This window comes from Homo sapiens, chromosome 3 (genome assembly GCF_000001405.40).
Source record: "Homo sapiens chromosome 3, GRCh38.p14 Primary Assembly".
In the NCBI taxonomy this organism is placed as follows: domain Eukaryota; kingdom Metazoa; phylum Chordata; class Mammalia; order Primates; family Hominidae; genus Homo; species Homo sapiens.
The window spans coordinates 11,640,405-11,660,776 of record NC_000003.12 but is presented as its reverse complement, the minus strand read 5'-3'; the positions used below and the strand labels follow the sequence as shown (position 1 = coordinate 11,660,776).

Genomic DNA, 20,372 nt, shown 5'->3' with positions numbered 1-20,372 from the left:
GAAGCATGAGAAGTATATATGTTGAGTTTATGCCCAAGTTCCCAAATAGATAATCTTTGAAACCTATAACATTTACAATATTAAAAACAAAACAAAACAAAAACAACAACAACAAGAAACCCCACCATACTGGGATAGAGATATGCTGAAACTTACAAAGTAAAACTAAAATTTTGAAACTGGGTTACTTCATGATTTGAAGAACAGTGTACTTTGTAGAACAAAGGAAAGGATTTTCATAGCAAGTGGGAATCCAACAGAAAGGGTAGAAGCTGGCATTGACAATGTGTCTGCTAGCACAGCTAGCACTGGGCTGCGTTTCAGAGTAAATAAGCAAAGGCCTTTGCCCTCAGGAGCTCTTGGTTTGGTCTACAGGGGAGATAAAGCCATGTGTAATTATAGTAGGCCATATTAAATGCCATGAGAAAAGTGGTATGATCAAAGGAGAATGGTCAGGCTGTATCATTATCCAAATTTTTCAAAGATGCAGAAGTAGATCAGAGAGATTCTGTAACACGCCTAAACTCACGCAGCCAGTCTGTGGCAGAACCAAGATCAGAACCTGCTTCTAGCTAACTGCTGGCTGGCAGGATGGGAAATTTTTTTTTTTTTTTTGAGATGGAGTCTCGCTCTGTCGCCCAGGCTGGAGTGCAGTGGCGCGATCTCCACTCACTGCAAGCTCCGCCTCCCGGGTTCACACCATTCTCCTGCCTCAGCCTCCTGAGTAGCTGGGACTACAGGTGCCCACCACCACGCCCGGCTAATTCTTTATATTTTTTAGTAGAGACAGGGTTTCACCGTGTTAGCCAGGATGTCTCAATCTCCTGACCTCATGATCCACTAGTCTCGGCCTCCCAAAGTGCTGGGATTATAGGCGTGAGCCACCGCGCCCGGCCAAGATGGGAAATTTTAAATAGTTTTACAGTTTACGGAACTCTTGTTCTTAGTAATCAGTTAAAATTCACTTAATCTGCTCATGCAATAATCAATGGGTTATAGCAAATACTTTGTTTGTGTCTACTGAAGTACTGTGTTTAGAATGCCGCATTCCTCAAACCTGCTTTGAGATCTTGTTCTTTTAAGGGCCCATGCCAATGCCACTTTTTTTATGAAATCCCCAAGTCCCTTCAAAATAGGATTTGAAGCTGGGCGTGGTGGCTCACGCCTGTAGTTCCAGCACTTTGGGAGGCCGAGCCGGGGGGGATCACCCAAGGTCAGGAGTTCAAGAACCAGCCTGACCAACATGGAGAAACCCCGTCTCTACTGAAAAATACAAAATTAGCTGGGCGTGGTGGTGCATGCCTCTAATCCCAGCTACTCGGGAGGCTGAGGCAGGAGAATTGCTTGAACCCGGGAGGTGGAGGTTGCGGTGAGCCGAGATCACACCATTGCACTCCAGCCTGGGCAATAAGAGCAAAACTCTGTCTCAAAAAAAAAAAAAAAAAAAAAAGAAAAAGAAAAAGAAAAGAAAACAGAAAAAAAAAAAGAAAATAGGATTTGTCCTCCCTCTGCCTTCTATTGTTTGTTTGTAGGTCTTATGTTCTGCCCTCTGTGATATACTCTTCAAGGACAGGGACTGTGTCTTACTCATCTTTGGATCCCAATCCCTTCTGGGCCAGTGGAGTGAGATCTTCGTTAACGTGGCACTCTATTCATGTTGTTTGAATGCCTTGCTTGCTGTATGTCTAGGGTCCCAGACACAAGTAAATAATTCTTAGAGGCATGGAAATTGTATATATATTGGGTTTAACTTCTAGGTGTTCACCTGTATCATGACTCTGGGCAGGATAGTTGTGCCTGACGCCTGGAGGTGCTGTATGTGTGTGGTGTTAGGTACCTATGTTGGATGTTTCTGCTTCTGGGCTCAGCAAAATTCTTCTCTCAATAAAAACAATTCTAGATGCTGTACTTTGTCTAGTGTCTTCTATTAGCAGCTGATAGCACTTTTTGGCTCTTCAAAATATTTTTGCATTCATTGACTCAGTGCGTTTTATAAGTGCATATCTGACAAATTATTTGGACTATTTTCTTTTTGTTCAATATTAACTAAATATGCATTTATGAGTGAGAATTTAGGGCATGGATTTTCTCACTCATGAAGAATAGCGTGCCACATGCCGGCTGGATAAAAGGAAAGATCCAGGAATAGTTCGCGTATTCTGTTTCCTCTGTGTCCTTCCTAGTTTGTAAAATTGTCAGCTGGCTCTTTAATTAATCATGATATTAAAACAGCAAACATATTGCAGTGATCTGTCAGAAGAGGACTGGAAGGTGTCAGGCCCTGTGTTTGGTTAAATATTACGAAGAAGGCTTCCGTTTTACAGGTCAGCTTTCCAAGGTACAGCATGTTGGTGTACCTTTCCTTTGTGGTTCCAGACCAAACTAGAAATGTTCTAGCTTGTACTTTGGAAGCAGTTGTGCCTTGAGAGCAGCTATAAATAAAATATGGTAGTTTGATTATTGCTTTGGGGAGTAGACAGTCCTGAACGTGCAGGTGCAATGCTGTATTTGCTCATTTCTCTCCCTCTTAAAAACTTGTTTTAGCCGGGCATGGTGGCTCACGTCTGTAATCCCAGCACTTTGGGAGGCCAAGGCAGGTGGGTCGCTTGAGCCCAGGAGTTCCAGTCCAGCCTGGGCAACGTGGCCAGACACAATCTCTACAAAAAAATACAAAAATTAGCCAGGTGTGGTGGTGCACATTTGTAGTATCAGCTGCTCCGGAGACTGAGAGGTTGGAGGATCGCCTTTTTTAAAGTCCCGGAGGTTGAGGCTGCAGTGAGCTGGGTTCATACCACTGCACTACAGCCTGGGCAACAGAGCAAGACCCTGTCTCAAGAAGAAAAACTAACAAAAAACTTGTTTTACTGAGAAAATGGAGAAGAGGGAGCTGGAAGAATCATTTATGTAGATACCATGTAAATTGGCATCACTGCATCTAGGATCATAATTTTCTTTATGGCAGCCTGTACCATAGGGCACAGGCATTCTCTAACCTTAATCCTTGAATAGTTTCGTAGAACACTGCTAGCCATTCCAAAGTAATAGGATTACACCTGAAACTTTTATGGGTGAAAGGGTTAGTCTCCTTAACCCTCTAGTAGCCAGACTCACCTAGAACTAGTGACAGCCAGGAGTTTTAGATCTCTTCATTTTACGGAAGAGAAAGCCAGATTCCTCCTAGTTAGCAGCTGTTTTGCCTCAGTGTTCTCTCCAGAGACACAGAGAACTTTGGGTTAGTTAAGATCCTCTCACCATTGTTCCCTGTAATTGTTATTGTTAATTCATACCAGCAGGAAAATGAGCCAAACAGTATTCTTCATGCCCATTGTTAAGATTAAAATGTCTCTTTTTTATTTTTTTGTCTTGGGAGGTGAAGCTCTCATTTGCTTGCCACATTTGTAAGAAAAACAGCATAAACCCAGGAGCCAACCCTCCTAGAAATACCAGTTACCGTCGTGTATTCTATAAAACATGACATTCTGTCTTGAGATTGCAGTGAATGGCGGCCTGTGGTTGGGTGGGGAAGAGTGGAGAGGGAAAAGAGGAATGATCGGAGTCCTTGGATTTTAGGGCTCGGGCAGACAACACAGAGGCTGCCGAGATGGACATCCAAGCTTAGAGAGGTGGAATCACTTGATGAAGATTGCATGGCTAGCAAAGGTTATGGCCTGGGAACTGGATTTTTCTGACTCTGTATCCAGTGCTCTTTTTGCTAGAAAGCAGTGTGAAGAGTACAGAGGGCTCAGCTTGGGAGGCCCGTCACTGCTCTCAGCTCCAGGCTGGCCTTCCTTACCTCCTTGCTGCCTACTCCCAGCCTCCCTGCAGACGCTCTTAGGACAGTCCTCTCCTCCTCGGGTCAGTCCTTCCTTTCCAGACCCCCTCTTCTCTTTCCTGGCATCTGAATGCCTGACCAGGGCCGTGCTTCGTTGTTGCTGGGGTCACAGTCATCTTGCTTCTCTGAGAGCCTGGATTGTGGCTAGTCCTCAGAGCCTGGCTAGAAACCTAGTTCTTTCTCAAAGCCATCCCTGGTTCTCACATGGTATGGAGCTTTGAAGTGACTCCCAGTGCTTACCTGGCTTGCTATGCGAGTGGCCTGCTTTGCTGTGGTGAGAACTTGGGGTGTGCTCTCCCTCCCCTCGAGAATGCGACACCACACACTGTCAGACCCTATAGGAGTTACTGACCTCAGCTACTGCACCCCAGTGGACATCTCAGCTCTAGAGTTTGACAGATACGTTGAGGGCTTAGCCACAGCAGGCTGAGCTCTGCCAGCCCCTTCTGCAAAGATCCCCAGCTCAGGTGCTCCTAGCCTGTTAGCCTTCCAGCCTAAAGGCCCTGCCAACACCAGCACCCCTGGGAACTCCTCTAGCCTCCGGGGGCCTTATATGTCACCGTGGATCCCTCCCTGTGTTGGACACCATCTCTGGAGAGAACCACTCATATAAAAGGCACACCTCAAACTTAATCAGATGTCACTTTCCACAGAGGCCTGCTTCCATCCTAAGTGAGCAACTGGACTTTAATATTTGGGAAGCACTCCCTGTGTGGTGAATGGACCTCGTCTGTCGTGTGTGCTCCCTGGTAGGCCTGTTCTCATTATTCTCCCCTCCTTAGGGATCATGAGCCTTTGTATGGCAATAGACCATGTGCTTCAGGAAATCATACTTTGATCATCTCTTTATTGTAACCACGCAGAGCATCACAAAGCTGTGCACCTGCGCTCCCTCCTGACTTCCTTCATTCTTCAGTTCGCTCCTTCTTTTAGGCTTCTCGCTTTCCTCTGTTCCCAGCTTAGATTCTGGAGCTCTCCCTTCCCATTTGTTCTTTCAAGAAATGTTTAGTGGTCACCCACCAGTGTCAGGCTTTGTGTTAGGTGCTGGGGAAACAATGATAAGGCAAAACAGCACGGATGTGAATGGGAGGGAGATGGCCGTTCATCAGAGGAGTACACAGGCCTGAAATGACACCTGCCTGCGTCCTCTGAGGGCAGGCTCCTATGCAGTGAGACGAGTCACTAGAAACCCCCCGCCACCAGCCGGAACCAGACACAAACTGGAAACCCCACTGTTTCCTCCGGCAAATGCTGTCTCTTCTTAGGACCCCTTAGTCCCCGCACTCCCCACCCTATGTGGGGTAAACAGGAAATCCTGCCTTGTCCATTTCTGGGCTCACTGCAGTCAAGTGTTGGTAGGTTTATCCATTTCAAGTCCTATTCCAGCTACTGGGTGTTGATAATTTAAGAAGATAGGCTGAGAATGGGGGTGGTGGGTTTGGTTTGCCCCTTCTGTGTAAAGCAGATGGGAATTGTTTAAATACAAATGACCAGGTGGTGCCATCCCTGTGGGAAGGAAGCCAGGCTGTTTGTTAGGTGGGCTCACGTCGCCCCCTAGTCCTGCCCACGAGCAACTAACTCATTGGGATGTTGAACTCTGGTGGGTATGAAAAGCAGCCAGGTGCCCTCCTCAGTTCAGTTCAGAATCTCCAGGGTAGTGGTCCTGACCCCTAAGGGGAGGGGAGCTTGCAAAAATTACGTGGGTAGCTATTTTCAAACGATACTGCTAAGTGTAGTTATTTCCTGGGTGTAAATTCAAAATTCATCTACTGCAGATTTACCAAATTATCCTCCTGGACACCCATGGCTTTCAAAACCTCCTGGGTGATTGTAATGTATGGCCACGGTTCAAAACTGCTCTAATAGTGGGTGGATTTCTGTTGGCCCTAATAATGCCAATGGCCTCACAAATAGAAGCCTCAAATAGAAGATCCACAGGAGGATAAGGTAATGCTGGCAAACTCATCCTTGGAAAAATTGAATTGTTTGCATTTCAAAAAGAATTTTGTGGTATTGGCCATTATTTGACTTAATTGAATATTTTTCAACAAAAACCGTTTATTCTAGTTAATGTTACTAAATATAGTTGTGTTGGTGATGAAATAAAATCTAAACCACCTGCTTGTTTTATAAAGATTCTGTCTTCTCTCACTGGGGTTTCAGGCCAGTAATTAATCCAGGACATGTTAACTGTTGAATGCCTGCTCTTACAGGTATTGGGCATAGACAAAGAAAAATATGGTATGGGTTTCATTTCAAAGAGATCACCGTGTGATGAGGAAGGTGGATTTGTTGAAATATTTTAAGATACTTACAGGTGCAGGTTAATAATCTTAACATTGCAAATGATCTTTTTCTCATACCTCGTTTTATTTGCCTGCCTTTTGCAAAGCTAATAAGGTAAAATTCATGCCTTGCAAGTTAACAGGAATTGTGGACTCTAAAAACTCCCCTTATTTTTAGTTAAAAGTAAGACCCTGGGTGCAGTGGAAAATCACAGCTTCTGGTCCCAGCTCTGCTGCTCTTTGCGTGAGTTTAGAGGAGCCAAGGAGCCTGCTTGGTATCTGTTTCCTCATCTCCGCATTGTCGCGAGAACTGAGAAAGAAACAGGATATGCAGAAGATATGCACTGTGCCATGGAGTGTGGCACTTAGTATCCTTTGTTGTCTTTCTATCCCCTCAACTCTAGGAAAAATAACATTTTAAGACAATAGGACATTGACCTCTTGTGCTGTATCAGAGAATGATGATTTGGCTAAGGAGAAAATGCCCAATAATGATTTGCTTGATTTGGGTTTCTTGATTTGTGGCATTATTGTCACTTTTGCCAAATAATGCTTTGTTGTGGTGGTGGTGGTGGGGGGTGTCCTATGCATTGTAGGATGTTTGGCAGCATCCCTGGCTCCTAACCACTAGATGTTAACAACACCCCCAAATTTGAAATAACCAGACATTGCCAGATGTCTCCTGAGGAGGGCAGAATCTCCTTGGTTGAGAGCCTCTGGCCGGGGCCCTTCCCTCTGTGTTGTCTCGGGTGAATTCTATCCCTCTGCCTGCTACAAGTGTCACAGAGTTCTTACTGTCCATCAGAGAAGTGCGAAGTAAAGTCGTAGTGTGGCTGCTCCAGACCTACCAGAATAACAGGAATGAAAGAGTTGGAAAACTGTTGGCAAGGATGGGGAGCAACTTGAAATCTCATACCCTGCTGGTAGGAGTATAAACGGGTACAACTGCTGTGGAAAACTATTTGGCAATATTTACTTAAGCTGAACATACACTTTCTGCGTATCTGCTTCTGAGTACATGTGCGACAGAAATGCATTCCGAGGCTGATAAGAGACACACACTAGAATATTCATAGCAGCACTATTTATAATAACCCCCAGGTAGAAACTACCTAAATGCCCATCAGTGGTAGAATGAAGGATCTGCGATATATTGGAGTAATGGAGTACTAGACAGCAATGCAAATGAATGCTATGCAACTGCACATAAAAATAATGCTACCACTCATAAAATATGTGGAGTGAAGGAATCCAGCCACAAGAGTAGCTAGCATCATACGATTCTCTTTCTATAAAGTGTTATACAACTGATCTACGTTCTTAAAGGTTAGGATAGTAAGTTACCCTATGGGGGTAGTTACTGGAAGAAGGAATAGGTGGAGGTGGGATACATTAAAATTCTCCCTATATAAATAACAGCCATGATTTCTCTTTCCTGGACGGCACCCTAACTGGTTGGAAGGATGACTGTGGAGGTGCTTAGCGTGCTGCATAATGAATGAAGCACTGTGCAGGCAGACTGACCTGTGAAATGAAGTTGGGTCACACATTGGGGCTAGCAGCGAACTTAGCCCTTCAGTTGTTGAATATTTGGGACATTTTCTCCAGTTCTTCTATTTTTACCATGGAAGTCAGTTCTAGTCAATCTTGCAGGAATACATCTATGAGTAATTATGACTTGGTACAAAGTGAATATCAGAATAGCGTTTTAATTGTGAATGTTCTTTGAATGGGACTTACTGAACCTAAATTGGTTGTAGTAGCGAAAATCACTAAAATAATCATGTATGTAAACATGCAAGAAAATATTTGTATTGTCAAACATGTAAGACAGTAGTTGTAAAACTAACAAGTTAAAGTGTTTTGCAAGAGATTTCTCTTTTCTTGGGGATGCTAATCTAATTAAATTCCCTTCCCTCGCACTGATTTATTCTGATTTATTTAAAACACCATTCCTTAGCCTGTAGTCCCAGTACTTTGGGAGGCTGAGATGGGCGGATCACTTGAGGTCAGGAGTTCGAGACCAACCTGTCCAACATGGTGAAACCCCATCTCTAATAAAAATACAAAAATTACCCGGGCGTGGTGGCACGTGCCTGTTATCCCAGCTACTTTGGAGGCTGAGGCAGGAGAATCGCTTGAACCCGGGGGGCAGAAGTTGCCAGTGAGCAGACATCGCGCCACTGCACTCCAGCCTGGGCAACAGAGTTAGACTCCATGTCAAAAAAACAAAAAAACAAAAAACACCATTCCCAGTCTGCACTTTTTAGGATTATTAAGGTTAAATTTATGTGAAAGCACATTTCCTATTTAATCACTTGGCATCAATTTAATTGATTTTGTATTTTGTTTTAACTTTTGCAGAGTTTAGTAAGAATTAAACTATTTGTTAAAAGATATTTTCTATGAATTTTAATATTAAATAAAATAAGGTTTATTTTTGTATTTGAAATATAATGCACATCAGGCAAGAATAGCACGAATTCTGCAGTTTGCTTTTTCAAAATGGTCTTTGTAATTTAAAGTTCACCCCTAGAGGGTGGTGTTGTATTGAAAATTTAAATATGATCTGAAGACCCATTTAAAGTTTTTGAAAAGTCCATAGATTTGTGTTAAAATCTTATATTACAGAGAATGATCAGTCGCTACTTAATAGAAGTTGAGTGTGTTTTAACTTACAAATGGTAGTATTTTGTAAATAATAAAATCTAAGACATAGTTTAATGATATTTGCTTTTGTGAAAAATTCCACAAAATACTGTCCTTTTAAAAAAATCATCCTTGAGCAGCCCCAAGTTGTATAAATAATCACTATTTTATGATATATTTAGGAATTCTTAAAAGAAAGTAACAACAAAGGGAGCTTATTAGATATTTGGTTTATGTCGCTGATTTTTTTTTTTTTTAAATCAGCTACTCCCTGGTACTTACTGTACGTCATTGATATTTAAGGCATTTGAAGTTTGTTTTGTTTTGGTTTCTCCTTTAACTCAGCAGCTTAGTTGTTGACCTACCGTGTACAAAGCAGTCTTTATAATATGGTAGGGGACAGACACAGAAACTATCTTATAGTCTGCTTTGTTTTAGAATGAAGTATAGAATAAACCTAAAATAATGCAGGATGAAGAGATTAATCCTAGCTAATGGTTCTTGGTGGGGGCGGGGGGTTGGTAATTCAGCTAGGCCTTTAAGGAATTTGCATTCTAAACAATGTTTAAAAGAAAAGAAAGTTTGGTTTCTTAAGTCTTCCTTTTTTATTACTCAATGCTAGGTTTTACCTTAAACCCTTTTCTTTCTTTTTCTTTCTTTCTTTTTTTTTTTTTGAGTCTCACTCTATCGCTTAGGCTGGAGTGCAATGGTACAATCTTGGCTCAATACAACCTCCGCCTCCTGGGTTCAAGCAGTTCTCCTGCCTCAGCCTCCCAAGTAGCTGGGATTATAGGCACCTGCCACCACACTTGGCTAATTTTTTTGTATTTAGGAGAGATGGGTTTTCAATATGTTAGTCAGGCTGGTCCCGAACTCCTGACCTCAGGTGATCCACCCGCCCTCCCAAAGTGCTGGGATTACAGGCGTGAGCCACCGCGCCTGGTCCCTTAAACCCTTTTCTATGCTTTCCTTCTTACAACCTTGTCTTAGTAATTAAATTAAGTAGATTACGAAGCAAAAATGTGTTGACCAGTGTAGTGTTTTACAAACACCACCATCATCATCATCATTGGTACTGTTCTTAGTACACTGAGGAATGTGCTGGTAAATTGCGACGGACCTAGAGATCCTCTGAAACATGACAGTTTTGCACCTCCAACTTATTGTTTAACTGATGCTTTAGCTCAAGGAATAGTCAAACTTATTTTCTTGTTATTAGTAAGGTCTGTTTTGAATATTATTTACATCAGGTTAAAGTGTGTGTCTGTGTGTGTGTGTGTGTGTGTGTGTGTTTTCTATGTGTAGCAAGAAGAGAAAAAAAGCACTTTAAAATGAAAGTATTAACTAAATATCCAGCTTACTTGAAACCCTGGGAGGAAGAGCACAGCGGAACCCAGTAGGGGAAACAGATAGCGCAGTAGGGTTACTCATATTTTCTAATGTGGTATTTGGAGATGTTATGTTAGACTTAACATTAAAACTTTCCCCTCTCTTCAAGTGCTCAAATGAAAGCATTTTATTTTAAATAAATGTCTGGGGAGTGATTTTGATCATTTGGCTTTTCTTTCCACAGGCTGATATTAAATAGAAGAGTATTTGGCTTTTATTACACAGCTCGCAGTTTTGGTGATCTATTCTAAAGTGGTAGTCAAACCTCTAGCTAATTAAACAGATCAGCCTAGTAATTAGCCTGGGCTTTCTTCTATCGTCATATTGCCATTATTCCACAAAGATGCTGAGGCACAACCATAATTAACATTTATAAAGCACTTATTGGGCCAGGCGTGGTGGCTCATGCCAGTAATCCCAGCACTTTGGGAGACCGAGGCGGGTGGATGGCTTAAGGCCAGGAGTTCAAGACCAGCCTGGGTAACACAGTGAGAACCTGTCTCTACAAAAAATGATTAAAAAAAAAAGTTAGCCAGACACGGTGGCATGCACCTGTGGTCCTGCTGAGTTGGAAGGATCACTTGAGCCTGGGAAGTCAAGGCTGCAGTGAGCTGTGATTGAGCCACTGCACTCTAGCCTGGGCAATAGAGGGAGACCCTGTTTCAAAAAAACCAAACCAAACCAAACCAAACCAAACCAAACCAAACCAAACCAAACCAAACCAAATAGAGCACTTGTGTGCTGTGGGGGAGTTTTACTCTAAGGACTGAGGCTTAGCTTTCCTTCCCTCTAGAAGCTTATGGTCTAGTTTGGGGGAATTGGTACTGACATATGACATAATTAGTAAGCAGTAGAAGATAAAAAGCACGTACACATGTCTATAAGCTCTGCAAGTGTAGAGCTGTCTCTGTCAATTTTGCTCTTTGAGACAGATACCCCATCTTAAACATCTTTGAATGTTCCAAAGTTCTAAAGAAATGTTTGGATTCTTATTATTTTTAAGTTGTTAAACCCAAATCAAAAGGAGATATCATGAGATATGTAAGCTATAATAAGATATACATATCCATTGCTTATGTCTCACCAGGGAATATTATTTCATTGTGTTGCTGCTTTTTAAAAATCAAGAACTTTCCTTATCCGCATCTTCATTATAGGAAGAATAAACTATTTGTAGGCTAGTTAGAAATTCAGGAAAATGGAAAAAATGCCCACCATTCAAAGATGGGCACTATTAACATTTTGGAATACTTTCCAGTCTTTTTAATGTATACTTTTTCCTATATATATATGTATGTTTTCATAAATACATTAGCACAGTTGGTGAATAATGTGTGTTTTAGTTTTATATCCGATTTTTATTGTTTTCAGTTAACAAATGTAGTACTGTCACACAGTATATAGCATAGCATTTCCTCATGTCATTATAGATTATTGAAGGTGTTGTAATGGCTGCGTAATAGTCTGTCATCGATAAGCCACGGTTTTAATGCATCCTTTTATTTGGACTTTAGGTTTTCAGGTTTTCATTTTACACATAGCTGTATGATAAGCATCTTTATGAAACTCTTCAAATCTTATTTTCTTAAGACAGAAGTCTAGAAGTAGAGTCCAAGGCAAGGACAAAGGCATGGACATTTTTCATAAAACAGTCTAGTGTGTGCCAACCTGCTTTATACACAGGCGTTATCTGTTTATACTGCATTAGCAGTGAGCAAAGATTCCAATGGCATCCTGTTTCACCAGCAAGAAATAAGATTGAAAAAGTCTTTTTGTTAAATTGGTAGCTGGAAAATCACTTAAAATTTATATTTCTTTGATTATTAGTAAGGTTGAATAGTTTTTCAAAAATGTGTTGGCCATTTGTTTCTCATGCTCTTAAAAAATGTTATTCAGATCAAGTGGTTTTTCAATTTTTTCCTTTGTTCTTTCTATTTTTAAATGTTCTTTGAATACCAAGAACATTTATCCTTCACTGTAATATATGACACAAATATATTCTTCAGTTTTGTATTTTGCCTTTACTTGGTTTTGGTGTTTTTAGATGTATAAAAGCATAAAATCTGTATTCTCAATCAAATTCTACATCTTCCTTGGTGGCTTCTGTCTTTGATTAAAAATTTTATTTCTGGCTTAGCAAATGTTTTCCTATTCCACATCAGATAGTCTGAACATATCCTTATAGTTTTGTAAGTTTTTGCAGCAAAAACCTTACTTTAAAAGCATCTAAATAATCTTTAAAACATTTGGGATTTATTTTGATGTACAGTATAAGGCAAAGTGCTATCTGGATTCTTTTCTCAGTAATGTTTGTTTTGTAATCCACTTCTTCCCCATTGGCCTGGATTTCTGATTCCTATATCCACAGTATCTGTCTGGTCCTACCTAGTCTCTACCCAGTAACACTCCAAAATATATTCTTTGCTTTATGTTTTAAATATTTGATAGATCAAACTTATTCATTCGTAGAAAAAGAACTAGCTTTTCCCATCTCATTTGTGTGTGTGGATAAAATTTAGACCCATCTTTCCAATTCCCTACAAAACTATCCTGTTGCTACTTTAATTATGAATATATTATCCTATGAATGAATCTGAGAAGGATTGATATTTTCTAGTATTTTTTTTTTTTTATGGATGAGCTGATTGTACCCTGAAGTACAATCAGAATCTACATGGTGTTTCTTAAAGGCAAGGACCTGTGGTCTCCAAGAGATGTTGACAGCCACCTAATGACATCGAGTAAGATAATCCAGAGTGTGCTGGAAGTAGGGATGGGGAAATGAAGAATCTGCCGTTTAGATGTTTACTGATTTTATTCAGCTGGTATTTATTGATGGCCTACCATGCGCCAGGCTTCTGCCAGACTTCTGCCAGACTGACCTCGAAAAGGTGAGGAAGGCATAGTCCTTGCTCCGAAGATCTAGGCTAGGAAAGAAGCACATATAAGGTATGGGTTGAGCGTCCTAATCCAAAAATCTGAAATGAAAAATGCTCCAAAATCTGAACAGTGTTGAGTGCTGACACAACATTCAGGTGAAAATGCTCATATTGGAGCATTTCAGATTTCAGACTTTAAAATTAGAGATGCTCAACTGGTAAGTATAATGCAACTATTCCAAAATCCAAGAAGGTCCGAAATCCAAAACACTTCTGGTCCAAGTATTTTGGATAAGGACTACTTACCCTGTAAAAGGATAGCTTGGCGTAGGGTGTGAGGAGATGGTAGGATGGGATCGTAGGGAGATTTCACAGGACAAGAGGGGCTTTCTGACAAGTCTCAAGGAAGAGTGGATGTTTGCTGAGTAGACAGGTTGGGAAAGAAGAGACGTCCTGCACACCGAGAAGCATACTGATGTGCTTTGTGGAATAACTCACTGCAGGTCATCCAGTGTGCTTGAAACTAAGGTGAAAGTTGTCAGGAGCTGGGATGGAAAGGCCTAGAGCCGGTCCAGGAGGCGCTCCCAGCCTGCAGAGGCGGGCTGTTGTAGCTGGCCCCTCTGGAGCACAAGCTTCTCTGTGAAACCAGGTTTGTTTCATTTTTCCCCAAGACTTTGTTGCAGACTGATAGTTTATAAAATGTAATGCAGCCCTATAACTAGAAATACGAAAACTACAGCCCTCAAATTTCTTTAATATTAAGATTTGAGAGACATAAAATTAGTCTATCGAATTGCTATAAAAGTTTTAAATGTTCATTCTCCGTTTCTGTATCTAGCTTTTGGGGACTAGGAACACCTGGTGCTCGAACCCCTCTGGATCACACTTGGGTAGCACCGTGCTAGCCTCCCGGATCAGCGGGAAAGACGTGGTGGCTGTGGCTGGGAATGTTACAATAGTCAAGGTAGACCTGTGAGACGGTGTCCACGAAAATGGTTGCCACCCGGAGGCTGAGAACTGCTGTTCTAAGTGATGCTGAGTCCCTTAAGGGACGTTACCAAATATTTTATTCATTTTCTACAATGGTATTGTTTGAATCATTTGCTTAAATTACTATTAAAAAAATTCTTCATGTCAAAATAAGTGAATAAAATGAAATATCTTAAGGCAGGGTTTTTTTTTTTTTCCTCCCTAGATGAAAGCAATGGTTCTCAACCTTGACTGCATATTGGAATCACCTGGGACTTTAGAAGCTACTGCTGCTGGTTCCCACCTCAGATGAGTTGGGGATGCAACCTCAGCAGCAAGATTTTTAAAAGCTCCCCCCTGGTTCTAATGTGCAGCCACCTCTCTTCCATGTGGGACAATGATGGATAAAGTTTTCTGATTGAGAATTTATGTAAAAACGTAGCACAGTAAGAGTACTCCAAAACTATCAGTTAAATTTAAATCTGATACCTGATATTGTTTGTTTTCAGTGCAATGATCTCATGTATACTGGATGTTACGAGTTTTGAGTTTTCTTCAACCCTCCCCACCAAATACCATTAAGTATTTTAATTACAATTGATAGGATACATATCTTTCACTATAGCTTATTACATGTAATATAGTGTCAATAAATATTCTTATAAATGAAAGCTTGTGAAATCTTGATTCCCCTATTACTTACTTCCCCTGATGTCACCCCAGTGATTACTGTTGCAGCAATGACGGCAACAGTATTTAGTATTTAGATGTCATATAGTTTTTTTGTTTTGTTTTGTTTTTTGAGACGGAGTCTTGTTCTGTCACCCAGGCTGGAGTGCAGTGGCACAATCTTGGCTCACTGCAGCCTCTGCCTCCCGTGTTCAAACAATTCTCCTGCCTCAGCCTCCCTAGTAGCTGGGATTACAGACACATGCCACTATGCCCGGCTAATTTTTGTATTTTTAGTAGAGACAGGGTTTCACCATGTTGGCCAGACTGTTCTCAAACTCCTGACCTCAAGTGATCCGCCCGTCTCAGTCTCCCAGAGTGCTGGGATTACACGCGTGAGCCACCGCATCCGGACTCCCAAGTAAGATTTCATTAGAACACCTTGCCATGAGTGTGCCTAATAAACCCAATGCAACTATTGCTGGATTTTTTTTTTTTTTTGAGACGGAGTCTCGCTCTGTCGCCCAGGCCGGACTGCGGACTGCAGACTGCAGTGGCGCAATCTTGGCTCACTGCAAGCTCCGCTTCCCGGGTTCACGCCATTCTCCTGCCTCAGCCTCCCGAGTAGCTGGGACTACAGGCGCCCGCCACCGCGCCCGGCTAATTTTCTGTATTTTTAGTAGAGACGGGGTTTCACCGTGTTAGCCAGGATGGTCTCGATCTCCTGACCTCATGATCCACCCGCCTCGGCCTCCCAAAGTGCTGGGATTACAGGCGTGAGCCACCGCGCCTGGCCTATTGCTGGATTTTTAACATACAACTCCTTCAAATTATTTATTCAAATATTATTTTGGAATATTAAAAATATATTTTTAGAATAGTAATTCAAATGTTTAGTTTTTGTTTTTTTTTTTTCTATTTTGTTAACACGTTCTTGATGTGCTGAAAACTGAACATTCAGTGGTTCACTCGTTCAGTAAACAGTTTTTGGGCACCTGAACTTGGTTGTGCTAGGCACTGGGTAATCAAAGTTTAAGCCCCAAGTTCTTCCAATAGCAAATAGTACAGCTGCATGCCACTAGCTTCTTACACACAGGTGGGTGACATACATGCCAAATGAAAATAATTTTACCCTTTCCCTCTATAATTTCAAGTACACTTTTAATTTTTGATATTATAGCCCTATTTGCTTAAACACTCTTCCATCTCTTCTCCTCTCCTTGTCTCCTTTTTTTCTTTTCTTTTTTTTTTTTTTTTTTGAGACAAAGTCTCACTCTGTTGCCCAGGCTGGAGTGCAGTGTCACGATCTTGGCTCACTGCATCCTCCTCCTCTCAGGTTCAAGCAATTCTCCCACCTCAGCCTCCTGAGTAGCTGGGACTACAGGCGTGCGCTACCACACCAGGCTAATTTATGTATTTTTAGTAGAGATGGGGTTTCACCATGCTGGCCAGGCTGGTCTTGAACTCTTGACCTCAAGTGATCCGCCTGCTTCGACTAGGATTACAGGTGTGAGCCACTACACCCGGCCCCCTCGTTTTTTTAAATAAAATTATAACATTAGGTGGGAAAAAACACTTTAAAAGTAGTTCTGTCAACTATTTTGGGGGCTGTGGGCCAGTCATTTAATCCATCTGAACCTGTTTCCTCTGCTGTGAAAGGGTGATACCCTCCTTGCCCTGTCCATCTCAGTTGTTATGGGGATTATGGAAGAAGCTATATGTAACATTAACATCAGAAATTTAAATATCCAGTTAAAGTGTAAATGGATATTATAAAACAATCTTTAAAAGAAACAAAGACACTATATATATATATATGGCTTATGCATCACTAGCACTTTGGGTTTCCGAAACCCCAACATGAAGTTTCACGAAAGTTGCATTCCATGGGAGTTTGCTTCCATGATGGATTTTTTACTTTGTACTTAGCTCCTGAAAAAGAAACTTCCTGGGTTTTCTTTTTTCCTCCTACGGTTTTGCAGCGGCTTGGCTGCTTCCTGTCAAGAGCCACTCTGCCAAGGCCCCGTCTCTAGAGTCTCTCCCCCTCCCCTTTCTCTTTCTTTCCAACACTTGCTACATTGAGAGGCTGATCCTGTGCAGAAGCCCTCCCTGCCTCGGCAGCGCGGCGCAGTGAGCATGCTCGGCCTCCTGCGGGAAGAGGAAGCGGCGGCATAGGAGTCATGCCAAGCATAGCCCTCATGTCAGCGCTGCCGGCTTGCAGCGGGCTGTGAGAGGGGCCGGCGCCGCTTTGTCCTAGGAAACGGGCTGCGCGTTTCTCTTTTTCACTCTTTTCCATTTCCAGGAAGGACTTGTAAGGACTTCTGAAACGCTGTTTTCATACTCGATCGGGGATACAGTACATACACCGTCTACCAGTAAGCCCTTGAAGGGTTTCGTGTGAGCTCGATTTTTTTGTGCCTGATTTTTTTTTTTTTAACTTTTGCATACTTTGTTTTGATAGTCTGAGGCTGGGCCTCTGCCTTTGTGAAGTTGAAGAGCCAGGAGCTACTCAGCAACAATTGATTTTTGAAACTTAACTCTTTTGGGGCAAAAGCAAAGAGCTGGTTTTCTTTGCTAGCCCAATAAATGCTATTTATGAAGATGGACCTGTTGAACTATCAGTACTTGGACAAGATGAACAACAATATCGGCATTCTGTGCTACGAAGGTAGATGTCCCGTTGTAGAATTACTGCCCGTTGCTCGTCCCGGCCACTCCTCCTCAGTGTGCTGGGTGCCTGCCTTCTAAGCGCCCGCTGTCCTCCTCCGGGGTGTAGGGCACTTGAAAGGCCGGCGTTTCTTAGGTTCGGTTCGGCACCGAGTGTGTTCGGATCTCAGGCTGCGGGGGGCGGTGGAGGGGGCTGGACGGGGAGGCAGTGAAGTAGAAACCCTTCAAAGTTTGCTCGTTGCTTGCAACGTACTCGCGCCTCACATTTTTAACTCTTTAAAATGTATGTATTTTTGATTTCCGTTAATATTGTCTTTAGGGGAAGGACTTGTAGGACGCCGGTAAAAGTTGAGCCTCTTTGGGGGAGGGGCTGGTAAGGATTGCACCGTCTACTGTACCCTGCTGTGGGCCACGGCGCCCTGCAGCTCACGGAGGGGGAGCCAAAGTTACAGCGAGTTTTTGTGCTCGCGAGTGAGCGTCCCAAACAGCGGAGAATGTCCCTCTCCCGCGTGGGGCCGGAAGGGCACCGTGTCAGCGAGCACAGGCGGGCTCTTTGTCTCGCTGGCGCTTCCTGTGCAGCCCGGGGAGCGCTGACACTGGGGGGTGTTCCTCGCGCTCCGCTCCCTGTGGGAGCGATTACACAACACCCCGACCCCCAGCCTGCCCTGAAAAAGAGAGAGCCGCGCCGAACTGTTATTTATTACCTCCTACTGCCCGCGAGGTGCTTCCCCCACTGTCTTGTATTTCCAACTGTCTCTGGTAGCAGTCAGAGAAAAATCTATTTCTTAAGCCCTCGGACATCCTCTACGTGCGATTTGAAAAAGTGGCAATGGCCCTGGGTCTGCCGCCGAGGGCATCTCCGGGGGAGTTCGGCCTGGCAGGAAGAGTGTTTTCTGTTGTAACCACACACACATCCGGGACTCTTCTCTTTCTCATTCAGCAGGAGCAGTTTCCATTTTTTCTCCAATAATACACGGGACATTTCTCTTGAAAAAGAAAACAGTTACAAAAACTTGGGAGGGTGATTCACTTGTATTTTTTTAATCTAAAAACTTCAGGCCTGTTTCCTAATCAGTTGAAAACTCACCCTTTCAAGAGTATTTTTCCCCTTCAAGGAAAAAAAACAACAACAACCCTCATTCACGTTGTTTTTTAAAACTCTATGGATGAGGATCTCATATTTAACGTTTTTTAAAAAGAGTATTTGTTTTTCTTTACTCCTACTAGTTCCTGCTATGAGAATTTTCGTGAATTTCTTTCTTTGCATCTGATGTGTTAAGTAACATCTTGCTTCTGAACTCACTTAAAAAAGGCAGCCGACTTTAGAAAGCCGTAAGCAGCCATTGCTGGGCTTGTTTCCCGTGACATTCACACATTGTAGTCAGGGTTTTGTTTTTCTTGTTTTTTTTTTTTTTAACCATCCCCGCTTCCCCCAACAAGAAAGAAAAACTTCTGAGGCAATTTCTGTTGTATTGTCTTTGCCAACAAGTAATACGATATTTTAAAAACAAAACATAATGGCCTAAGAGAGAAATATAAGATTGTTAGGAAATTGATACCAGATTAGTTTTTCCTGTCTCCGATTGGTGAGGACCAACTTACGGACAGCGAGCCCAGGTCGAGTTGTTGTGTAGCATGCAACACCCAGGAAACTAGAGTGCTCTGCTCTGCTCTTCTCTCTCGGTATTTGGGAGGAAGAAACTTTGATTTTGAAGATTGAGTAGCTATATGGGATAATGGGCTGAAGTCTGTTTGGTTTAAACATCTGCTCCTATTTTCCTTATTATGAGAGTTAACATTATTTTAACACCAGAATAAATACAGAGGAAATGAAGGAAAGCACAGCAAAATTTGAGTGGTGTTTATAGTGAATTGTTGATGTCCTAGTGGTTTTCTCAGTGTAAACACTGCACACATCTGGTCTGAACTCCAGAGGGTGTTTTGAAGATGGGCATAAATCACACACGGGATTTTTTTGTAGGAAAAGTTGGAAAGGTTATGGTTCTTTAAAATCCAACACTTGGACTTGGAGAATATTCGTTTTAAACATATCAGCTCCCCAGCATTCCAGGGAAGTTGTTTGGAAAATGGAATGTACTGTTGGTAGGCAACATTTGATTTCATTTAGGGCACAGTCAAGTTTCATGCCCCTTAAGAATAAGGGACAAATTAATTTTATGACATTTTAGTTTTAAAAATTAAGATGCGGATGGTTAATTATTCTTACCAGCTAAATTATACCATATTCCTTAGTTGTATGAGACATAGCTCTACTCTAAAATAAACCATGTGTCTGGTCTTTTTTTTTTTTTTTTTTTTGGTGATGAAGTCTCGCTCTTGTCCCCCAGGCTGGAGTGCAATGGCGCGATCTTGGCTCACTGCAACCTCTGCCTCCCGGGTTCAAGCCATTCTCCTGCCACAGCCTCCTGAGTAGCTGGGATTACAGGTGCCTGCCACCATGCCCGGCCCATTTTTGTATTTTTAATAGAGATGGGTTTCACCATGTTGGGCAGGCTGGTTTCAAACTCCTGACCTCAGGTGATCCACCCACCTCAGCCTCCCAAAGTGCTGGGATTACAGGCATGAGCCACCGCACTCAGCCTGTACTGTCTTTCTTAAACCTCTCTTGTGACTTAATACGCAAATCGATCTTTTTAGCCGTTTACCTTGTAGCATACAAGGTCTTCCTTCCTGACTGACTCCATATTGCTTAGATGTGGACTCCCTCCTTGGTAACTGCTTCCTGGCTCCTGCCCTCCACCATAGTTGTCTGCAAGAATAACTGAAAAGAATAAAGGGAAAAAGTTAACCACAATTAGCAGGTTTGGGGTGGGAGAAGGAGACGTTAGGGAGAGGGCCGGAAGAATCGAAGTCTGGCTGACTTCTGGAAGCTAACTAATTCCCTTCACTAATGATGAGCGGATTAGTAGAACTGGGCTTGTGCTATGTGTTCAGAACCTCATGGCTTATTACTACCGTACTCAGCAATTAACCACTGCGTCCATCACCCCACTGAATGCTCAGATGATACCC

General features: G+C 42.4%; 1 protein-coding gene across 10 annotated transcripts in view, besides 2 other annotated features; it reads left to right on the top strand.

The window, feature by feature from the left end:
* The window catches only part of VGLL4 (vestigial like family member 4), a 165,749-nt gene that overhangs the window by 61,039 nt on the left and 84,338 nt on the right, over window positions 1-20,372 (top strand). For 2 of the 10 annotated variants that reach the window (NM_001128219.3, XM_047449263.1), the window contains exon 1: window positions 16,862-17,340. The exons of the other annotated variants lie outside the window; for them this stretch is intronic. In NM_001128219.3, the coding sequence (NP_001121691.1) occupies window positions 17,259-17,340 (82 nt within the window). In that variant the 5' untranslated portion in view covers window positions 16,862-17,258. Of the gene's footprint in view, window positions 1-16,861; window positions 17,341-20,372 lie in introns of those variants that run through there. 10 annotated transcript variants of the gene reach the window in all.
* Window positions 16,639-16,718: an enhancer, noted in NCBI's record as "active region_19433". NCBI's record gives its function as "activates an Ori minimal core promoter by ATAC-STARR-seq in GM12878 lymphoblastoid cells {active_cell/tissue: GM12878}" and the evidence as "EXISTENCE:reporter gene assay evidence [ECO:0000049][PMID:35858748]".
* Window positions 17,909-18,278: an enhancer, noted in NCBI's record as "active region_19432". NCBI's record gives its function as "activates an Ori minimal core promoter by ATAC-STARR-seq in GM12878 lymphoblastoid cells {active_cell/tissue: GM12878}" and the evidence as "EXISTENCE:reporter gene assay evidence [ECO:0000049][PMID:35858748]".